We start from the raw sequence: 23,061 nt of genomic DNA on the forward strand, positions 1-23,061 counted from the left end.
ACGGCTGCTGCAAGAAACAGTGGAGTGAAGAGGCCAGAATGGAAGTTCCTTGAGGCAGGGATTCCTTTCTGTTTAGGCTCCATACTGTGGGCCTAGGTCAGATAATAGGTGATCCGTCAATATTTGTTAAATGAATGACCTTAGGTGTGCTACCTCTGGAATCAGGCCTTTGGTTTTAAATCTCAGCTCTGCCTCTTCCTAGCCAAGTAATCCTTTTGTAAGCCCCTTACCTTCTCTGTGCCTCATCTATAAAATGTGGGTAAAAATCATACGGATCACTACTGATCCAAGATATCAAAAGATGGAACACAGATGAAGCTTTTAGTGTCTGGCACAGCGGAAGTGCTCACTAAGTATTTGCTCCTGGTCTCATGAGATGCCACTGCCCCCGCCTTCTTGCCTTACACCTTGGCATTACACTAAGTACTCCCTCTCCTGACCCCTCCTAACTTCGATATTAACCCTGAAGAAAAGATGGGGACTCCAGAATAGGCTAAGATCAAGCTTCCGCCACCACAATACAATGGAGACTCCTGGCAGAACTTAAGCTAAGAGCTTTAAAAAAAGTTAAACTTCTTGCACAGCTGATGTTGCAGGCTCATTTTCATATTCAAGAATAGCTCAAACCTTTGAAAAGTAGGCATCCCTAGGAGGCCCTTTCTAGCATTTTAAGTTGAACAGTTTTCTCCCACATAGGCGTGTGTACACAGAGAACAACTGACCTCTCACCTTACTCGCCTTTCTAGAAAAGCACAGTTATCCGAGGAGTTATCTTTTGCAGGTGCTGCTAGATAAAACTCAACTTTAAGGCAAAGAGGCCAAGTCTAGGAAACAGGTCTCTGTCCTTCCTTTCCCTTACTGTATCCTCATGAAAGACCCCTGGGCTTTCCTGAGGAAATTCAGCACACACAGTTTTATTTCATATTAAGATATGTCCTCCTGAAGGTGAGTGATAAATGTGATCATTAATTTTTTATTGAAAAAAATAATCTGGATTTACCTGGCTTCTCAGTTATCTAAATGGCAATTGGATGACCAACCTTCCTATTTGCCTGAGAGTGGCCTCATTTTAGCACTGAAACCCCTCAGCCCTGGACAAACAAAGACGACGATCTAAATGTCCTTGACAAACCCTAAATGCCGGTGACATCTCAGGTAGACTTGTTGGCCCAAGGGAGTGTTTGGAGATTTTTGTTTTGGATGGAAAAGGAAATGTACTCCTTTGGAATCAGAAGAGCTCACCATCTAGGAACGAAATATGACATGAATTCCTCCCAGTGCATTCTGTACTCTGCTCAGGATTGGCAAGCCTGGCCCCAAAGACCCTGCAGAGGGAGATACCTGGAAATGCCTCATTTGACAAGGAGGCAATGGGAGGGCAGAGAGGAGGAGACTGCTGTAAATAGGTCCATGTGGCAAGTCTGTAAACTCTGTCTTCACATCTTTCCCATAGAGTCCCTTGATTTTGGTCAGACTCTAGACCCCCATGACAAACCCCTGCTGCCTGCACAGGGTGGGCCTGTGTCCCCTCCTTTACCAAGTCAACCTACCTGTGTGGGACACTGTGATTTGCTCCCAGGCAAAGGAGCAGCCCCTGGCATAGAGACTCCCCCCAGGACACACGGACCGGCTGCCAAGCCTGTACGACATTTTAGTGGCATTTTCAAACCACATGGAGTAGGCTCACTGAATGCCTAGTGAATTTCCAGTCACAGAGAATGCAGCACAGCCTGTTCTGCACCTCGTGGGCTGCTGCGAGAGCTCAGCCGGGCTGCAGACACTTGGTGCTTCAGGGTTGGATTCGGAGGCTGCAGAGCTCCTTGCATGGGTGGGTCCCTGGGCAGCTGGCCTCTCTGCATGGCTGGGATGGAGCCTCTCAGCCACCACACTCCTCACCCCGGTGCCAGTGCCTCTGCCTGGCCACAGCAGCAAAGAATATCCCTCAGCCTCTCCTTTCTTGAGAGCTATAGGGAGGATTCCTTTTAGACACGTGGGACGGAAAAACTTCCTTAACTCTCAGAAATGGATTTCTTCTTTCCCAAGGGCACGATAGACAAGGCTGGCCAAATAATTTGTGGGCTCAGTGCAAAATGAAAATGTGGGGCCCTGGGAAGTCAATGTCCCCTTTCCATGCACTTGCTGCCCCACCCACGGTGGACAGGTGACCCCCAGGGACTGCAAGCTCTGTGCTGGGGCATGATTGGTACCAGGATCCGGGGTGGACACGAGACCTCTGCCAAGTTTGCAGCCAAAGGTGACCTGCCACTCTGCATGGCTGGGATGGAGCCTCTCAGCCACACTCTTCACCCCGGTGCCAGTGCCTCTGCCTGGCCACAGCAGCAAAGAATATCCCTCAGTCTCTCCTTTCCTGAGAGCTGTAGGGAGGATTCCTTTTAGACACGTGGGGCACTTCCAACCAGAGGTGGGGACGACCACCACCTTGTCCTGCACCAACACACAATGGGGCACACACCTCTTATCCTACCCACATCTATGCCCAGGTCCCTGTGGCAGGGCAGAGAGTGATGGCAGGGTGGTGGCCTCCCTCTGCTGATACCTCCCTGGGTGGAGGGTGGTGGCTGTTGTAGAGCAGGCAAGGGAAGGGGAGGCGGGGCCAGCGTAGCCCACCAGGGGACAGGAAGGTGACAGGCAGCAGGCAGCAGGAACAGACTGTGAGCAGAGGCTCCAAATCCCCATTATATGCTCCATTGGGATGTCAGATTTCACTTACAAAACACAAATTCAAGGATAAAATACTGAAGAATTTCAAAATGGCAACCTCAGGGCACTACTCCCAAGTATGGGGCCCTTTGGAGTACAGGGCCTTGTGCAACTTCACTGGCTGCTGACACATGAAGCTGGCCCTGACAGTGGGAATTTGCTTCCTGTGCTTCCTCTGGGAAGCTCAGAGCCAAAATGAATGGCTTGTTTTGAATAACTGTGGAGGACCTGGAGCTTGCATAGCACATTCCAACTTGGCTCTAGTCTTGATCTTCAGATTGTTCAACATTCTGCTTTTGACTTTTGTTTTTCATTGTCTTATTTATATGCTAAAAGGATGTAATATTATAAAAAGTTTCAAATCCTTTGTCAAGTGAGAGAGATAACAAAAAATGAGATATTTTCCTTCTTAACCTTCGCTTGGGTCCTCAATGTAAAGAGATCATTTTGGTGATGGGAGGGCAGCTGGAAAATCTGCACCACCACAGCTAATCTGATTAATTGAGAGGATATTTGCAAATGCACATTAAAATACAATATTGATCCACCCTTGGTAAAAACGTGTATAAATTGTTTTCCAGTAGTGATGGATTTGCAGGGAGCCAATTGCACCCTCCCAATCCATCTCCCATGTAAACATTTTAGAAACACCTAGCCAGCATCTCCATTACAACAACATTAAGCAGTTCCCATATTAATTATCTATTGCTGCATAACAAATTACCCCCAAACTTAGCAGCTAAAAACATTTATTATCTCATAGTATCTGAGGGTCAGGAATCCAGGATCAGGTTTGCAATGAGTGGTCTCTCATGAGATTGCAGTCACGATGTTGGTTGGGCTACAGTCATCTGAAGGCTAGATTGGGGTTGGAGATTTGAGATGATGGACTTACAAAGCTGTTGGCCAGAGGTCTCAGTTCCTCACCATGTGGACCTCTCCATAGGCTGCGTGAGTGTCCTCATGACATGATAGTTAGCATGACCTGGAAAGAGTAGTCCAAGAAAGAGAGAACTAGAAGGAAGCCCCAGCATCTTTCAAGATCCAATCTCTTGCCATCATCCTCAATATTCTATTTGCTCAAAGCAAGTCATTAAGTCCAGCCTGCCCACAATGGGAGCGGAGTTAGGGATGACCTCTTGGAGGAAAGAGTACCAAATAATTTGTGGACGTATTTTAAAACCACAGTTTCCCGAAACATTAAGTGGCTGGACCATAAATGAATTTCCACAAAGGTTGGTTCTAGTAATCACACAGTAGGAAAAGCTTGGACTGTGGGTCACATCTGAGTTTGAAACCAAGACTTGCTCCTGACTAGTCTGTGGGATCTGGACAAAATGATCATCTCCGAACCTTAGTTTCTTCATCTGTAAAATGAAGATAATAATAGTAATTCTTTCATAGAGTTATTATGCTAATAATATCTAAATGAGATGGCCCTGCAGGGTTGGATCCAACCTGAGGCTTTTACAGTTTGATGGGGCTTTCTTTAAGGAAACAGGATGGAAAATTATAATAAGTTAGGTACAAAATGAGCATTTATTTACAATTAGAATTGACAAGAATTATATATTTTAAAAGCCAACAAATAGCATAAATATCACAAATCCAAGAAAAAATTAACTACCTGAACAAAGCTCTTTCAAATACTTTCTTTCCGATGAAATCATATCCTTTGCAGTGACATGGATGCAGCTGGATGCCATAATCCTAAACAAATTAATGCAGAAACAGAAAACCAAATCCTGCGTGTTCTTACTTATAAGTGGGAGTTAAACAATGGGTGTGCATGAACGTAATGATGGAAACAATAGACACTGGGGACTCCAAAATGGGGGAGGAAGGACGGGAGGGTGGGTAGAAAAACTATCTATTGGGCACTACGTTCACTATTTGGGTGGGGTTCAAGAGAAGCCCAAACGCCAGCATTACACAATATATCTTTGTAACAAACCTGCACACATACCCCCAAATCTAAAATTGAAATACTTGTCCGGGCACGGTGGCTCACGCCTATAATCCCAGCACTTTGGGAGGCCGAGGCGGGTGGATCACGAGATCAGGAGATCGAGACCATCCTGGCTAACATGGTGAAAACCCCGTCTCTACTAAAAATACAAAAAATTAGCCGGGCGTGGTGGCGGGCGCCTGTAGTCCCAGCTACTAGAGAGGCTGAGGCGGGAGAATGGTGTGAACCCGGGAGGCGGAGCTTGCAGTGACCCAAGATTGTGCCACTGTACTCCAGTCTGGGGGACAGAGCGAGACTCCGTCTCAAAAATAAATAAATAAATAAATAAATAAATAAATAATAAAATAAAATTGAAATACTTTCTTTCCTACGTTTTGACTAAATGCTGTTTGATCACTCCCTACAATGACAAAGATTTTGTAATATTGTCCATAGCCAGAAGAGAAGTATAATTCAGTCTTTTAATAGCACGGTTCATCAAAAGTTGGTTTTGATTACTGGGAGCTTATTATTCAGCGCCACTAATCATTATTTGTAATGTCATGCACATTTTTAGGATTGTTGTCAAATTTGGGAAAACCTCTCTGAGGTTTCTTTTATTTATGAGCTCAGGGTATTTCAGGTGTTCTTGTGTAGTCAATTGGTGGCACTCATTAACCGGGGCCACAGGAGGGGCTTGACGCTTCAGCTTCTCTGTAAATCCTCTCCTGGAAGCAGGTCAGTGTGTGTAGGGACCTGGCCTGCAGTAGGTGCACAGGAAGTGGAGGAAGCCTGGAGACAACCTTCATCTTCCTGCTCCATTGCCTCAGGTGGAGTAGGGGATTTCCCACCCTGGACTCAGCTTCCTCTTTCTCCAGTAGCCCATCAGGGCCTGTGAGAAGGTGGTGATAAAAATACACCATAGCAGGGTGCGGTGGCTCACGCCTGTAATCCCAGCACTTTGGGAGGCCGAGGAGGGCGTTCCATGGGGTCAGGAGTTTGAGACCAGCCTGGACAACATGGTGAAACCCCGTCTCTACTAAAAATACAAAAAATTACCCAGGTGTGGTGGTGGGCGCCTGTAATCTCAGCTACTCGGGAGGCTGAGGCAGGAGAATCGCGTGAACCTGGGAGGTGGAGGTTGCAGTGAGCCAAGATCACGCCATTGCACTCCATCCAGCTCAGGCAACAGTGCGAGACTCCATCTCAAAACAACAGCAGCAACAACAAAAAAAAAACAAGAAACACTGCTTGTTATGATGCAGTGGAAAGAACCCTGGACTCAGAATTAAAAAACCTGGGTGTGAGTCCTGTCTTTGTCACTTATCAGCTGTGTGACTTTTGGCAAATTACCCAAACTCTCTGTGTCTTCGTTTCCTCATCTCTGAGATGGGTGAACCTGTGCCAGCCTCATGGTTGTAGAGATGAAAGGCAGGATATAAGTAAAGGGGCTTTGTAAATTCTAAAGCAATTTTACTAATGTAAATGATTTTTATTTTGGTACCTGGAAGAGTTACTGAGGAATCAGATGGGTTACTATCCAATGCCTATGAGCATCTTAAGGTCTTTGTTGTCTGTGGCCTAAAGCAATGGGAAATTCAAGTTGGACTTTAATCAAAAGGATGGCAAAATTGCCAATGATTTCCACAAAAATGTACTGAGCCCCATCTGTTGGCCATAGTTTGTGCTAGAGATGGGGATTTAAAGACAGATGAGACACAGTTCTGGCCCTTCAGGGAAGGTAGTGCTGGTAGATGGAACTCCAGAAGGGCATCTGGAGGGTGGATTTAGCCCCTGAGCCTTCTAACTTTATAATCTGGGCCTCCCTGCACCTCCGTGTCTCCTTCTGCAAAGGGGCGGTGCGCTCTCTGTGTGAGCAGGTGTGGAAACAAGTGAGTTAAAGCTGGCAGATCTTGGAGGAAACAAGTGAGTTAAAGCTGGTAGATCTTGTAGGATGCTTGGACAGGTGTCTGACAAAGCCATCAGAGGGTTGAAGCCATCTGAGACTGGCTGTTCTCCTTGGGGAATTTTCAGGCAGCTTTGAAGTGCCGCCAGGACAAGGGAGGCCACCCCATCCTGGAGGTGCATTCACTTGTAATTTACTCCTCCACGTGGGCTCTGGAACTCCACTCTCATAAATACATCACCCACTCTGGCTCGCCCTGAGTAAAGGCAGGCTGACAGGAGAAGGGGGGCCGGAGGGGAGGAATCACTAAATTAAGAAGGTCCCTGGGGGTGGGTGGCCTACAGACACGATTGAGACTCCTGAGTCTCTCCCCTTAGAGCATAAATATTTCCAACTAAGATCACAGACTCCCTGATCATAAAATCAATGAAACCACAAGGGAAAATGATCTCCTGCATGACTGCCCCAGAGATATCTCAGAGTCCTTTCCCCTCCTGCAGAAGCGATTGTTCCGGGGCTCAGGATTTGAAATCCAGGCAAGACTGTTGAGAATTTGATGGAGAGAGAACATCAGTTGGGTTGGGTGCAGGACTATCCTGTTCTACTGCAGAATTTAGAACAGAAGCTATGTTCTGCTATGGGTCTGTGCAACACCTACTGCAACATGAGAATTTTTCTGAAAGTCAGAAGACCTGAGTTCAAGCTCTAGCCCTTCTAATTACTGGCTGAGTGTCCCTTGGCAGTAGACTCTCTAAGCCCAGTTTCCTCATCTATTAAAAGAAGGATAATAACGCAAGGTCTGCCTGCCATATTTGGGAGGTAACAACATCAAAAGAGGTCTGTCTATGCAAATGTTTTGTAAACTATAAAGCTCTTGATAAATAACATGTTTTATTATTAAAAGATAAAAAGCACCAATTCTGCTAGTGAACCTATGAGAACTCCTTATGCTATGACAGAAGCTGTGGCTTAAACGAGGGGATATTCTGACTTACATGATTGAGAAGGGCTAAGGTGGGACTGATTCAGAGAAGACTAGATTCAAACAATGTCACCAAGGCCAGCCTCTCCCCCTCTCCTTGCTCTGCCTTCTGTGGTATTAGATTTGGCTTCATCATCCAGTTTCATGGGTCTTTGTGGTCACAAATGTCCACAGTGACTGCAAGTCACATGTCTTCACACGATGCCATCCAGGGGAAGAGAGGTCTCTTTCCAGTAACTTCTGCTGAAGACAGATGGAGAGAGGAATGAGAAACTCTTCTTTTTCCAGACTTAGTACATGTATCAAATTTCACTGGCTTTCTTTATATAGGTGGGGGCATGTCAATTGCCTTAAGAGAATCAAGGCCCATCCCTCGATTTTTGCATAGGACTGGGATGCCAACCCAACCACATTTGGAAGAGGCTATTTTATCAGAAGACTGAGTGGAGGCTGGGTTGCAAAAACAACATATGTCTAGTACAGTCTACCCCCTCTAGCTGCCCAAAAGCCACACTTACCTCTATCTCCATAAACATGCCTTCAAAAATATCCACCCTCCACACCAAACCCAATCAACCTCTTTCCCTCAAAGAGACAAGCCATGATTTTATCCAGTTCTGGTTCTCTGGGTGATGTGTGGTCCTCATACATGGATCTCTTATTGGTCTCCTGTGGTCCACTAAGGTTAAGTGGTAAATTTAATCAGCACTCAGTAGACAGTGGTAGAGAGAGAACAGGGAAATTGCAGTAATAACTCTCCTTTGGAAAACGAAAGAATAGGAAACAACTCCTAGTGGTCACTGGCCCATAGCCCATATCTGACTCTGCCAGAAATCACATGGACTTGGTCTCCTGGGAGCAAATAAGTGACTTCCCCCAGCTCTGCCCTCTGCAAGGCTTCCCTTTGCCTGTTGGCTTCTGGGGCCCCTGCTTGTCTGTCTGGGAAAATCTGTCCTGTGGATTGTCCTTCATGGGACCCTGTGACATGCACATTGAGGAGGGGTACCCCTTTCTGGGAGCTGCTCTGTTTCAGCAGCTCTCTCTCTGTTGATGTGAGTTTGGAAGCCTGGAATTCACTATCCTAGGCCATTATAGGCCAGGCTTGAGGATTATTTGGCAAAATGACACCCTTAAAAAGTTAACAAGGTCCTGGTCTATTTGCTCCTGGCTAATGCCATGGAGAGTACCCAGAGTCAGAGATCTTATCATGTCATACTTTTTGAAACAAAACACTCCCTGGGAATATCAACCTCCTAGCATGGGGCCCAGTGCTCTGGCCATCCCCTGATCCCTTCAATTTGATGCTTCTGTCTTGGCCTCAACTGGAGAAAAGCCAAAATAATAGGGTGGGTGGGGAGGACTCAAACTACTCATTCCTCATAATAACAACAAAAATATTAGGAGTAACGTGTATTGATTGCTTACTACGGGGCAGGCACTGTTCTAAAGTCTTTATATGTATTATTAACTCACTTAATCTTCATAAGCAGCCCTGTGAGACAGGAACTGTTACCATGCACAATTTGGGAAAACTATTCATGGAGCAATAAAGTAACCTGCTAGTAAGAGGCAGAGTGGGGATTCAACCCCAGGGGGCCTGGGCCCGCAGTCCTCGTGGAGCAATAATCCCTGTTGTGTGCTGCTATCGGGCTGCATCCTGCTGCATCTTCCCAAGGGCAGTGTTGACTTCTTTGTTCAAGGCATAATAGGAGGTGCTTGGGAGGGCTGCCTCTCAGGCCTCAATCTTATTTCCTGTTTGGTTCCCATGTTCCTGCTTTTCTTTTGCTCACTTTATGTTTCCTATTATATTGTATTGTATTTTATATGGGGTCTCCCTCTGTCACTCAGGCTGGAGTGCAGTGGTGTGATCATAGCTCCTGCAGCCTTGAACTTCTGCACTCAAGTGATCCTCCTGCCTCAGCCTCCCTAGTAGGGGGGGAAGACACGTCACCATGCCCAGCCAATTAAAAAAAAATTTTTTTTTTTTGTAGAGGTAGACTCTCACTATGTTGCCCAGGCTGGTCTTGAACTCCTGGCTTCCAACTATCTACCTGCCTTAGTAAACTACTGGGATTATAGGCAGAAGCCACCATGGCCAGCTCTTTTGCCAACTTTGAGGGTGAAGAAAGGAGCTTTTCCTATACTCCCGGACAAATGGAACAGCAGGCCAGTGGCAAAAAAGGCAACTCTTAGCAAGCCTGCTATTTTCTCTTGTCTCTTGCTTTTAGATGGGCCAGTTTTGTTATTGGAAGTGAGTCCCAATCCAGACCCCAGGAGAGGGTTTTTGGATCTTGTGAAAGAGAATTCAGGGTGAATGCATACAGTGAAAGCAAGTTTATTAAGAAAGCAAAGGAATAAAAAATGGCTACTCCATAGGCAGAGCAGTAGCATGAGCTGCTGGTTGGCCATTTTTATGGTTATTTCTTGATTATATGCTAAACAAGGGATGAATTATTAATGAGTTTTTCAGGAAAGGGGTGGGTGCTTTCCAGAACCGAGGTTTTCTCCCCTTTTTAGACAGTATATGGTAACTTCTTGACGTTGCCATGGCATTTGTAAACTGTTAAGGTGCTGGTGGGAGTGTCTTTTAGCATGCCAATGCATTATAATTAGCGTATAATGAGCAGTGAGGACGACCATAGGTCACTTTTGTCACCGTCTTGGTTTTGGTGGGATTTGGCAGGCTTCTTTACCACATGATGTTTTATCAGCAAGGTCTTTGTGACTTGTATCTTGTGCTGACCTCGTATCTCATTCTGTGACTAAGAATGTCATAACCTCCAGGGAATGCAGCCCCGTAGGTCTCAGCCTTATTTTACCCAGCTCCTATTCAAGATGGAGTTGCTCTGGCTCAAACGCCCCTGACAGTTTCAGTCTAATCTTACCTCTTGCTTGGAAGACCTTACTGAAGAAGTTGTCAGCACACTCCAAAATCCAAAACTTTTTTTTTTTTTTACAACATCCTTTAGTGTTAAAGCCTCAGGAAGCATATAGTCTAAATCTCAGGACTTACTAGCCAATGGTTTAACCAGCCATTTACTATAACTTAACAAAGAATTACTAAATTCTCAGATATCAATTATTTCTTTTCACTCAAATGCTTCCACTTAGCCTTGCAACATCCCACTTCTGGTATTAGATTCTGTATCAGTGAGGAAACTTTTGGTAGTAAAAAATTTTAAGCAAAAAATAAAGATGTTGGAAGGCTCCCAGAGGCTCAAAGAATCATCAGGAGACTGGAGAGCATGGCTGGAAAACCTCAGCAGCCATCCTCTCGAGGAACTGCCTGGTCAGTGCGGGGCAGGGTGGCATGGTGCTGTGGCCAATCCCTGCTTATTTTCTCTTTGCTCAAGATTCCAATGCCTGGGAAAGAACATCAGACTGATCAAGCTTAGGCCACCCGCCCACCTCTCAGCTAGGAGTAAGTAGAACCACCAACCTATGCCTGGTGCAGAAGAGGTGATTCCAATAAAGGAAACTAGGATGCTGTTAGGGATGGGGAGTAAATGTGGGGCAGTTCTAATCCAACAGACTTCCCTTACACCTAGTGATGTTGGTTACATGGTACTGTAGACGTTATTCCATTCAGTCATGGCAGTTGGATCAAAATGAGAATGAGTTGGAGAGTTCTATAGGAAGTCAAATAGTAGTTAGGTGGTAAGACTTAAGCTGTTAGGGGTTAAAATGTAACAGAACAGGACGGGCACAGTGGCTCACTTCTGTAATCCCAGCACTTTGGGAGGCTGAGGCGGGCAGATCACGAGGTCAGGAGTTTAAGACCAGCCTGGCCAACATGGTGAAACCCCATCTCTACTAAAAATACAAAAATTAGCTGGGTGTGGTGGCACACATCTAGTAATCCCAGCTACTCGGGAGGCTGAGGCAGGAGAATCATTTGAACCTGGGAGGTGGAGGTTGCAGTGAGCCGAGATCACGCCACTGCACTCCAGCCTGGGTGAGACTCCGTCTCAAAAAAAAAAAAAAAAAGAAAAAGAAAAAAGTAACAGAACAAAATTTTTATTTAATTAATGTCAGTTTCGGTTTTTAAAAATCCCAGCACTTTGGGAGGCCGAGGTGGGTGAATCACAAGGTCAGGAGATCGAGATCATCCTGGCTATCATGGTGAAACCCAGTCTCTACTAAAAATACAAAAAATCAGCAGGGTGTGGTGGCGGGTGCCTGTAGTCCCAGCTACTCCAGAGGCTGAGGCAGGAGAATGATGTGAACCCAGAAGGCAGAACTTGCAGTAAGCCAAGATTGTGCCACTGCACTCCAGCCTGGGCGACAGAGCTAGACTCCGTCTCAAAAAAAAAAAAAAATCTTTTAAGCATTTTTATTTTTTTTTCTTTTTCTTTTTGTAGAGACAGGGTCTCCATATGTTGCCCGGGCTGGTCTTGAACTCCTGGGCTCAAGCGATCCTCCCATCTCGGCCTCCCAAAGTGCTAGGATGACAGCCACCACACCCAGTCTGTTTGGTTTGTTTATTTAGGTATTTGTCTCTGAGGGGCAAATGCAAATGCATCTAGCAGCCAGCAAGGCATTATGTTCTCAGAAGCTAGTTATTCACTCCCTTACTCACCCACCCATTTAATTGATCACTGAATCAGAACTTATTGAACAGTTTCTTAGTCCTGGGCAATGTCTAGCAGCTAAGTAGATACAAACATAGATGACATAATTTCTGTCCTCAGGTGGCAATGAGTGACAGTAGTAGTAGAGATATTTTAGTCTACTTAGAAGGCATGGTTCAATGTGAAGGCTCTGAAGTCAGACATAGAAGAGTGCAGTGTTGGGTTCAAATTCTGGCTGTGTGACTTTGAGCAAGTTACATAATCTCTTCAAATCTGTTTTCTCATCTCCCTAATGGGGATAGTTACTAATTCAAAGCATCGTTATTCTTATCAAATTGATTCATAAATTCAATGCAATTTCATTCAAAATCCCAGCATGTGCTTTAATGAAAATCGATAAGCAGTGGGAGTCTAAAATATGCATAGAAATGCAAATAGCCATGATAATCCTGAAGCAAAACAGAGCTGGAAGGATTATACTACTGCATATCATGCCTTATTGGAAGTTACAGTAACTAAGATAGTATGGTATTATGGACCCAAAATAGACAAACGCATGAATAGAATAGAGGGTCTAGAAGTGAACTGACACGTATAGGCCACTTGATTTATGATAAAGATAATATTTCAGAGCAGTTGGAAAAGATTTTTTTAGACAATGTCCTTTTATGTATGGCTTATTTCACTTAGCATACTGTCTTCAAGGTTTATCCAAGTTGTAGCATGTGTCAGAATTTCATTCCTTTTTTTTTATTATTATTATTTTTGAGATGGAAACTCACTCTGTCACCCAGGCTGGAGTTCAGGGGCACAATCTTGGCTCACTGCAAGCTCCGCCTCCCGGGTTCATGCCATTCTCCTGCCTCAGCCTGCCGAGTAGCTGGGACTACAGGCATCCGCCACCACACCCAGCTAATTTTTTGTATTTTTAGTAGAGACGGGGTTTCACCATGTTAACCAGGATGGTCTTGATCTCCTGACCTTGTGATCCATCCGCCTTGGCCTCCCAAAGTGCTGGGATTACAGGCGTGAGTCACCCTGCCCAGCGTTTAAGGCTGAATACTATTCAATTGTATGGATATACCACATTTTGCTTATACATTCGTGTTGATGGACATTGGGTTGTTTTTACCTTATAGCTATTGTGGATATTGCTGCTATGAACTTTGGTGTACAAATATCTCTTCAAGTCCCTGCTTTCCATTCTTTTGGGTATACATCTAGAAGTGGAATTGCTGGATCATGTGGTAATTCCATGTTTAATTGTTTGAGGAACCACCATACTATTTTCCACAGTGGCTGCACCGTCTTACATTCCTGTCAGCAATGTACAGGTTTCCAATGTCTCCACATCTTTGCCAACACTTCTCTTTGTCTGTTTTTTTTTTTTCCCAAATAATGGCCATCCTAATGGGTAAGATTCTGTTTTTCAAAATCACTTTTTGCCGTGGTAAAAAAAAAAAGTCTCACTTTGGCTCACTATGATTACTATACTATGAAATTTAACAATAAACATTTAATGGGTACTTGTCATCTGCTATGCACTTAATTTTTTATCTTATTTAATTCCCACAACATCATTTCTTGGCAACCTTTCTATTGAACTATAACATACATACAGAGAAGTGCACAAATCAGAAATGTATAGATTGATGAATTTTCACAAAGTGAATATATCCATGTAATCAGCACCCAGATCAAAAGCTAAAAACATTACCAGTGCCCCAGAAATCTCACTGGTGCCCTCTCTCAGTTCTGTTCAGCCCCCACTACCCACCTACTCCAAGAGAAAGCAAAGATAATAACTTTAAACCCATAGATTGTTTTTGCCTATTTTTGAATTTTATATAAATGGAACAGAATATAAAATCTTTGGTATATTGCTTCTCTTACTATGTATGTTTATGAGGTGTATTCATGTTGTTGCATGTAATAGTTCAATTATTCTCATACTAAATAGTATTCCATTTTATGACTACAGCACAATTTATCCATTCTACTTTTGAGAGATATTTGGGTAGTTTCCTGGTTTTTTTTTTTTTTTTTTTTTTTTTTTTTTTTTTGAGACAGAGTTTTGCTCTTGTTGCCCAGGCTGGAGTGCAATGGCATGATCTTGGCTCACTGAAACCTCTGCCTCCTGGGTTCAAGTGATTCTCCTGCCTCAGCCTCCCGAGTAGCTGGGATTACAGGCATGTGCCACCACGCCCAGCTAATTTTGTATTTGCAGTAGAGACAAGGTTTCTCCATGTTGGTCAGGCTGGTCTCAAACTCCTGACCTCAGGTGATCCACCCGCCTTGGCCTCCCAAAGTGCTGGGATTATAGGCGTGAGCCACCGCGCCTGGCCTCCTGTTTTGAGCTATTACTAATGGTTCTGCTGTGAGCATTCTTTTGGTAAATACCTTTTGATGAAAATACGTGAGCAATTCTATCGGGAATTTTTCCAGGAGTGGAATTGCCAAGTCACAGTGCATGGATATGTTTAGCTTTAAAGATGATTTCCAAAGGAAATTGATAAGTATACACATCCAGCACTGAATATGAGTCCTAGAAGCTCCAAACACTGGCTGGCATTTGATATCATTTGTCTTTTTCATTTTAGCTACTCTGGTGAATGTACAGTGATATTATGTTATGCTTTTAAACTGCATTTCTTTGAGGAGTAGTGAAGTTGAGCACTATGTTCATATCTTTATCAGCCACTTGGATATCTTCTTTTTTTTTTTTTTTGAGACGGAGTCTTGCTCTGTCACCCAGGCTGGAGTGCAGGGGCGCGATCTCGGCTCACTGCAAGCTCCGCCTCCCGGGTTCACGCCATTCTCCTGCCTCAGCCTCCCAAGTAGCTGGGACTACAGGCGCCCGCCACTACGCCCGGCTAATTTTTTGTATTTTTAGTAGAGACGGGGTTTCACCGTTTTAGCCGGGATGGTCTCGATCTCCTGACCTCGTGATCCGCCCGCCTCGGCCTCCCAAAGTGCTGGGATTACAGGCGTGAGCCACCGCGCCCGGCCGGATATCTTCTTTTGAATAGTATTTGTTCAAATATTTTGCTCATTTTTCTGTTGGTACATCTTCATTGTCTGCCTTCTGCTTATTAATGATCAATGTTCTTTATATATTCTAAAAATGGGTTCTTTGTGCATTGTGTATTGCAAATATCTATTCTCATTTGTCTTTTTACTCACTTCATGATGTCTTTTGATGAACAGAAGCTTTAAATTTTAATCTAGTCCAATTTATTAAGTTTTGGTTAAGGCTTTTTACGTCCTGCTTAAGAATCTGCCATCCTACAAAGATCATGAAGATATTTTATGTCTTATTCTAGAATATTTATTAGTTTTTCTTCTACATTTAGATCTATAAGGCACCTAAATTATTTTTTATGTATGGTGTGAGGTAGGCATTTGGGATTCATTTGTTTCCCACATGCATAGTCATGAAAATGAATAAAATTGTGAATTTGGCACAGTTCAAATAATACTAACTCCTTTTTGAAATATTCTGCAGAACCTCAATTTTTTTTTTTTTTTTTTTTTTTTGAGATGTGGGTCTTAATATGTTGCCCAGGCTGGTTTCAAACTCCTGGGCTCAAGCAATCCTCCCACCTCAGCCTCCTGAGGATCTGGGATTACATGCTACTGTGCCTGGCCTAATTAGATTTGATGAATGAATTAATTATTTTAAATTAATTCAGTATTTTTACACATCTAGTGTTTGCCAGTTTAGCTAGGTTGGTAAAGAAAGTCCTCTCAGAGCCAACATTTGAGCTCAGACCTGATTGATGAAATGAAGCCAGCCACAAGGGGATTGGGGGAAGAACATTTCAGGAAGAGGCAAGAGGTAGGTAAGTAAAGTTTGATATGTTCAAGGAACAAGAGGAAGGCCAGCACCGCTGAAGTGTAATGCCCAAGATGATGTGAAATACAAGACAATTCTTATGAATGGGAGAGCAAAGGAAAGAGAACCAGACGGGGATCACTAGAAGATAATGGAGCAATGCTTTCAAAGTCCCGAGGGAAAATGTTTTTTTCAACCTAGAATTCTTTTTTAAAAAATTTCAATAGTTTCTCAGTTACAGGTGTTTTTGGTTACATAGATAAGTTCTTTAGTGGTAATTTCTGAAATTTTAGTACACCCATCACTCAAGCAGTATATGCTGTACCCTATATATAGTCTTTTATCCCTCACCCTCCTCACACCCTTTTCCCCTTGAGTCCCCAGTGTTCGTTATGTCATTCTTACGCCTTTGCATCCTCATAGCTTAGCTCCTACTTATAAATGAGAACATGTGATATCTGGTTTTCCATTCTTGAGTTACTTCACTTAGAATATGGCCTCCAGCTCCATCCGAGTTGCTGCAAAAGACATTATTTCATTCCTTTTTATGGCTGGGTAGTATTCCAATATAGCATATATAAACCATATTTTCTTTATCCACTTGTTAGTCGATGGGCACTTAGGATGGTTTCATATCTTTGCAATTGTGAATTCTGCCACTATAAACATGCACGTGCATGTATCTTTTTTATATAATGACTTCTTTACCTTTGAGTGGACACCCAGTAGTAGGATTTCTGTGTCGAATGGTAGTTCTACTTTTAGTTCTTTAAGGAATCTCTGTACTGTTTTCCATAGTGGTTTTACTAGTTTACATTCCCATGAGCAGTGTGGAAGTGTTCCCTTTTCACCACATCCACGCCAACATCTATTATTTTTTGACTTTTTAATTATAACTATTCTTGCAGGAGTAAGGTGGTATCTCATTGTGGTTTAAGTTTGCATTTCCCTGATACTTAGCAATGTTGAGTGCTTTTTCATGTTTGTCTTCTTTTGAGAATTGTCTATTCATGTCCTTTGCCCACTTTCTGATGGGATTATTTATCTTTTTCTTGCTGATTTGTTTGAGTTCCTTGTAGATTTTGGATATTAGTCCTTTGTCGGATACATAGTTTATGAATATTTCTCCCACTCTGTGGGTTGTCTGTTTACTCTGCTGATTATCTCTTTTGCTGTGCAAAAGACTTTTAGTTTAATTAGGCCCCATTTATTTATTTTTGAATGGGTATACAATTTAATTAGGTCCCATTTATTTATTTTTGTTTTTGTTGCATTTGCTTTTGGGGTCTTAGTTATGAATTCTTTGCCTAAGCCAGTGTCTAGAAGAGTTTTTCTGATGTTATCTTTTATAATTTTTTGTGGCTTCAGGTCTTAGATTTAAGTCTTTGATCCATCTTGAGTTGATTTTTGCATAAAGTAATACATGAGGATCCAATTTCATTCTTCTACATGTGGCTTGCCAGTTTTCCAGTTTTCCCAGCACCATTTATTGAATAGGGTTTCTTTTTCCCAATTTATATTTTGTATGCTTTGTTGAAGATCAATTGGCTGTAAGTATTTGATTTGATTTATGGGTTCTGTCCATTGGTCTACATGCATATTTTAATGCCATGCTGTTTTGATGACTATAACCTTGTAAATATAATTTGAAGTCAGGTAATGTGATGCCTCCAGATTTGTTCTTCTTGCTTAGTATTTCTTTGGCTATGTGGGCTCTTTTTTGGTTTCAGATGAATTTTAGGATTGTTTTTTCTAGTTCTCTGAAGAACAATATGGTATTTTGAGGGGAACTGAACAAATCTGTAGATTGCTTTTGGCAGTATGGTCATTTTCACGACATTGATTCTACCTATCCATGAGTATGGGATGTGTTTTTATTTGTTTGTGTCATCAATGATTTCTTTCAGCAGTGTTTTGTAGTTTTCCTCGTAGAACTCTTTCACTTCTTTGGTTAGATATATTTCTTTTTGTTTTTCTTTTCTTTTCTTTTTTTCTTCTTTTCTTTTTCTTTTTTTTTTCTTTTTTTTTTTTTTTTTTTTTTTGCAGCTTCAACCTAGAATTCTATACCCAGTCAAATTATCTATCAAGAATGAGGGCAGAATAAAGGCAGTTCAGATGTACAAGAACTCAGAAATTTTTCCTATAAAGCAGATTTCCTTAGTATTTTTACATGAGAATCTACTCCAACAAGGTGTGGACAGGAAGAGGAAGATAAAGCCAATGTAGGAAGACAATAGAGTGAAGGGCGACAAAGAAAGCCGTGTATCTTCTCTAGAGAACAATTGGCTCAGACTGGAGCACGTATGGAAGATATTTTTGAGTATTTTTAGCTGCTTCTTGTGTCCCTCCAATCCATTATCCATCATATTGCTCAAGCAAACTTGGTAAAGTTTTAGATTACCTTGCCCTCTCTGTTGAAAATCCTTCAATGGATCCCATTAGTTTCAGAATAAAATCCAACTTTCAAGTAGTATAAAAGGCCATTTGTTATTGACCCCTGCCTGCCTCTTCTGTCTCACTTCTTACTACTCTTCTTGGCCACTTCTGCCCTCTGCTCCAATCACTGATATTTTTAGATTTCTTAAAGCTACTTACTGCATCAGAAACGTTGCATCTGCTATTTTCTTTCTACAGAGTAACAATTCTTCCCCTCTTTTCCCTGGAAGATCCTTCCTTGTTTTTCAAAACTCATTATTTCAGGAAATCTTGTGCTCGCCTTGTGCTCACTTCCACCCACCACTGGTTTAAGTTCCCTTGGTTGGTACCTCTGTGGCTTTCCTATATGATTCACCTCTAATACCACTCTGTCTCTACTTAATTATTGATTTATTTATCTGCTCTCCTCACTTAATGATAATCTCCTCGAGAATAGGGACCACTTTTTTTTTTTTGATGGAGTCTCGCTCTGTCATCAGGCTGGAGTGCAGTGGTGTGATCTCAGCTCACTACAACCTCCGCCTCCCAGATTCAAGCGATTCTCCTGCCTCAGCCTCCCGAATAGCTGGGACTACACGTGCGTGCCACCACGCCCAGTTAATTTTTTGTATTTTAGTAGAGATGGGGTTTCTCCATCTTGGCCAGGATGGTCTCGATCTCCTGACCTCATGATCCACCTGTCTCGGCCTCCCAAAGTGCTGGGATTACAGGCATGAGCCACCACGCCCGGCCCAGGAACTGCGTTTTGATTGTTGTTGAAGTTTCTATAATGGCTAAGTACTCCAGCTTCTCTGCAGCCAGACTGCCTGGGTTAAAATCTCAGCTGCATCACTTGCTATGTTATCTTGGGAACCCTCTGAGTCTTGGTTTTCTCACTTGCAAAACTATGCGATATTTTCATCTGCAGCACCTGGCACACAAGATGCTCGACAGTGTGTGAGGAATGAATCCGTGCAGACAGGCAGAGTTCCTGGGGATGGGAACCTCTCAGCAGGGGAGTTAGGATGACTCACTTCAATCAATCTTGATTCTTACCCTCCCTTCCCAAGTAGGAATGCTCAGCTTCCTCCAGAACCGTTATGCTTTGAGGATTGTGAGCAAAATCTGAAAAATGTGGGGTCTTTTCCTTTGCATGTTTATCCATGTGTTAACCTAAGGAATTCAGGATATCTCACAGAGCAAAAATGTCTAAATCATGTCACTGCCTGACAATTCTTATGTGGCTGTCTAAACAGGATGTTAACTTTAGGACCTAAATTTTCCTAGGTGTGAGTATGTTAGTTAAGGATTACCGAGAGGAAGCGAAGGGATCATGTACCCATTCTGCAGGTGAAAAACCTCATGATCTTCTCTAAACTCCCCTGGGCCTAACGACTTACACAACTTGTCAGGAATCTACCAAGAGGAGGTCCCCGGCTCCCAAATGTCCCCTCTTCACCAGCAAAATGAATATTCTCTCTTTTTTTTTTTTTTTTTTTTTTGAGATGGAGTCTTGCTCTGTCGCCCAGGCTGGAGTGCAGTGGTGTGATCTCGGCTCACTGCAACCTCTGCCTCCGGGTTCATGTGATCTCGGCTCACTGCAACCTCTGCCTCCGGGTTCAAGTGATTCTCCTGCCTCAGCCTTCCCAAGTAGCTGGGACTACAGGCGCCACGCCACCATGCCTGGCTACTTTTTTGTATTTTTATTAGAGATGGGGTTTCACCATGTTGGCCAGGCTGGTTTTGAACTCCTAACCTCAGATGATCTGTCCACCTCAGCCTCCCAAAGTGCTGGGATTACAGGCGTGAGCCACCACGCCCAGCCGAATATTCTCTTTTTAGTCTTATGGGGGAGGCAGCATTCCTGTGGGGCTGCTCTACTTGGAATGGGTTTCTAGAAGTAAGAAAGTTGATTCTTCTCAATGTGTTCACAAGTTTCAGAGCATAGTCAAGAATGAATCGTACCATCTATGTTTCCTCCCATGTTACCTATTCCTGCAAGCAATCATTTTCCAGGAGAAAGAAATAGTGGAGTTCAGACTGAGCTAGCTGACCATCAGGCCTTCCTCACCCTCTCAACAGAGAGAGTAATCAGATATCAGAGTGGGCTCCAACTCTGAAGCTTTGATGGTTAATGCTTCCAATCTGAGCTTCTCCAATTCTCTTTTTCTTTTTTCATCTCCCTATCCTATACTCAGGGACCCCTTTGTCACACAGGTAGATCTGTGGACGACAGCTTGGATCACAAAGTGGGGACAATCCATTTTCTAGAAAGTATATTGAGTGCAACATTGATTCAGAGTGCAATACCCTGAATTCAAGGTTGCGTTTCAGCTTTTCTCTATTCAAGATGCTGTAAAGATGGTCCCTTCTTGTAGAGGGCTTATGGTCAAGCAGGTCAAGCCAATGCATGTCAAGAAAGAGCTCCGAATGCAGGTTAAGTAGCTTTTCTTCTCCACGAGTTATTAAACTTGAGGCTGGCCAAGGGCTGCCAGCTATGGGCAGGAGGTGCAATACCCACGTTTACATATATGCTGCTAAGTTTTGATCAACATATAAAAATTAGTTTTCTTACAAATGATTACACTCTTCCCTGTCAAACTGAACACTGAGGTTCTATGCCTCAAAATAGTTTAGGTCCAACTTACTTTAAGATCTAGATGGCACAGGGCAAGGTTCCATCAAGCCATTGCCAAGGAAAGCAAGGGAGTTTGCTGAAGCATTCAAGAACTTTGCCTTGATTACATAAGAGATGTGTTCAGGGCAGGAACGCAATGACTTGGGGGGCAAACCAGGAAGTAGTGGGTTCGTTGCTAAGGCTTTTGGACCCTGAAGACATTGTCGTGCTGTAGTTGTGATGGTGTTGTCATAATTGCTGGCTTGTTTCCTGTGGCTTTGAGTCTTTTGATCCCTCCAAGCATGCCAGCAAAAATTCTAGTGTTTGAAAAAGCTAAGAGCTATTGTATTATCTACTTATTTCCTGAAGTCCCCCCCGCAGTAGAGTTGCCAGGTAGAATTTAGGACATCCAGTTAAATTAGAATTTCAGATAAACAACGAGTAGGTTTTATTTTTATTTTTATTTTTTTTAGCATAAGTATGTCCCATGCGATATTTTAGCTAAAATTCAAATTTAACTTTAAGCCCTTTTTTTTTTTTTTTTTTTGAGACAGAATCTTGCTCTGTCGCCCAGGCTGGAGTGCAGTGGTGTGATCTCAGCTCACTGCAACCTCCACCTCCTGGGTTCAAACGATTCTTCTGCCTCAGCCTCCCCAGCAGCTGGGACTACAGGCGCCCACCACCACGCCCAGCTAATTTTTGTATTTTTAGTAGAGACGGGGATTTACCATATTGGCCATGCTGGTCACGAACTCCTGACCTCGTGATCCACCCACCTGGGCCTCCCAAAGTGCTGGGATTACAGGTGTGAGCCACTGCACCTGGCCCCTGGAAGTCTTGTATTTTGATTTGGTCAATCTGGCAGCCCTACCTCTGATTCCCTTCTAGTTATTGCAAAGTGACAAATGCAGCTCCGCTCCTGGGCTAATGTTTTGTAATGTGCACCATCTAGTGGTGACATGAACAGAAGGAAACTTCAGAAACAACCTGAAACCGTGATGGGATAAAGCTGAAAAGAAAGAACTATAATTTTAAAAATTATTTAAAAACTTTTTTCGGCCAGGCGCGGTGGCTCCCGCCTGTAATCCCAGCACTTTGGGAGGCCGAGGCGGGCGGATCACGAGGTCAGGAGATGGAGACCATCCTGGCTAACACGGTGAAACCCTGTCTCTACTAAAAATACAAAAAAAAAAGTTAGCCGGGCGTGGTGGTGGGCACCTGTAGTCCCAGCTACTCGGGAGGCTGAGGCAGGAGAATGGCGTGAACCTGAGAGGCGGAGCTTGCAGTGAGCCGAGATTGTGCCACTGCACTGCAGCCTGGGCGACAGAGCAAGACTCTGTCTCAAAAAAAAAAAAAAAAAAAAAATTCTAATTTTCTTCTTTGGATGTGGTGTTTGTGATGAGACCAGTAGTTTAGATTGTCCAGTGAATATTTGAAATCCCTTAAGTCATCAAGTGTTTAAACAGCCACACCCACCTGGCTGAGGCCTTGGGCTCCTCTATTAAATGCTAATGCACAGTGTTGGCCTTGATCTATTGTGGTTCCTAGTGCTCCAAGTGATTATTTTACAATAAGCACGTGGTGTCCAGCAGTATCTATCAAGTACAATAAATGTCGGGTTGGTGCAATTCTGTTAAACCCAACTGGGCCTGGAGGAAGACACAAGAAGCAAGTATTTCCTGTTTACTATTTTACTGGGGTTGGGAGGATGGTTAAGAGCTCAAGGAATTGGCACCCCCTAATGGATCTCCCTCTGGCTGCACACTGGAACTACCTGGGGTGTTTGTAAGACATACCAATACCTGGACCTTACCCCCAGAGATGTGGATGTCATTGGTTTGTAGTGGGAATCAGGCTTGGTTTTTTTTTTTGTTTGTTTTTCTTTTAAGTTTTCCAGAAAACTTTTTTTTTTTTTTTTAAATTTGAGACGGAGTCTCGCTCTTGTTGCCCAGTCTGGAGTGCAATGGCGCTATCCCGACTCACTGCAACCTCCACCTCCTGGGTTCAAGCGATTCTCTTGCCTCAGCCTCCCAAGTAGCTGGGATTACAGGTGCCCACCACCATGC

General features: G+C 43.4%; 1 long non-coding RNA gene across 2 annotated transcripts, besides 2 other annotated features; it reads right to left on the reverse strand.

The window, feature by feature from the left end:
* Window positions 1,327-2,104: an enhancer, noted in NCBI's record as "H3K27ac-H3K4me1 hESC enhancer chr17:36155829-36156606 (GRCh37/hg19 assembly coordinates)". NCBI's record gives its function as "activates a minimal SCP1, AML or CMV promoter by ChIP-STARR-seq in primed H9 embryonic stem cells {active_cell/tissue: H9 hESC(primed)}" and the evidence as "EXISTENCE:reporter gene assay evidence [ECO:0000049][PMID:30033119]".
* Window positions 2,105-2,877: an enhancer, noted in NCBI's record as "H3K27ac-H3K4me1 hESC enhancer chr17:36156607-36157382 (GRCh37/hg19 assembly coordinates)". NCBI's record gives its function as "activates a minimal SCP1, AML or CMV promoter by ChIP-STARR-seq in primed H9 embryonic stem cells {active_cell/tissue: H9 hESC(primed)}" and the evidence as "EXISTENCE:reporter gene assay evidence [ECO:0000049][PMID:30033119]".
* Window positions 3,457-21,187, reverse strand: LOC105371757 (uncharacterized). 2 transcript variants are annotated; one of them, XR_934721.3, is made up of 4 exons: window positions 21,027-21,181; window positions 7,571-7,797; window positions 4,349-4,431; window positions 3,457-3,706 (listed from the first exon to the last, which is right to left on the reverse strand). It is a non-coding gene; the product is annotated as an uncharacterized LOC105371757 (long non-coding RNA). The 2 variants fall into 2 exon arrangements; XR_934720.3 differs by having other exon boundaries at window positions 3,476-3,706; window positions 7,571-7,800; window positions 21,027-21,187.
* Window positions 21,188-23,061: the final 1,874 nt, after the last annotated feature.

Source organism: Homo sapiens, chromosome 17 (assembly GCF_000001405.40).
Source record: "Homo sapiens chromosome 17, GRCh38.p14 Primary Assembly".
NCBI classification, from domain to species: Eukaryota; Metazoa; Chordata; class Mammalia; order Primates; family Hominidae; genus Homo; species Homo sapiens.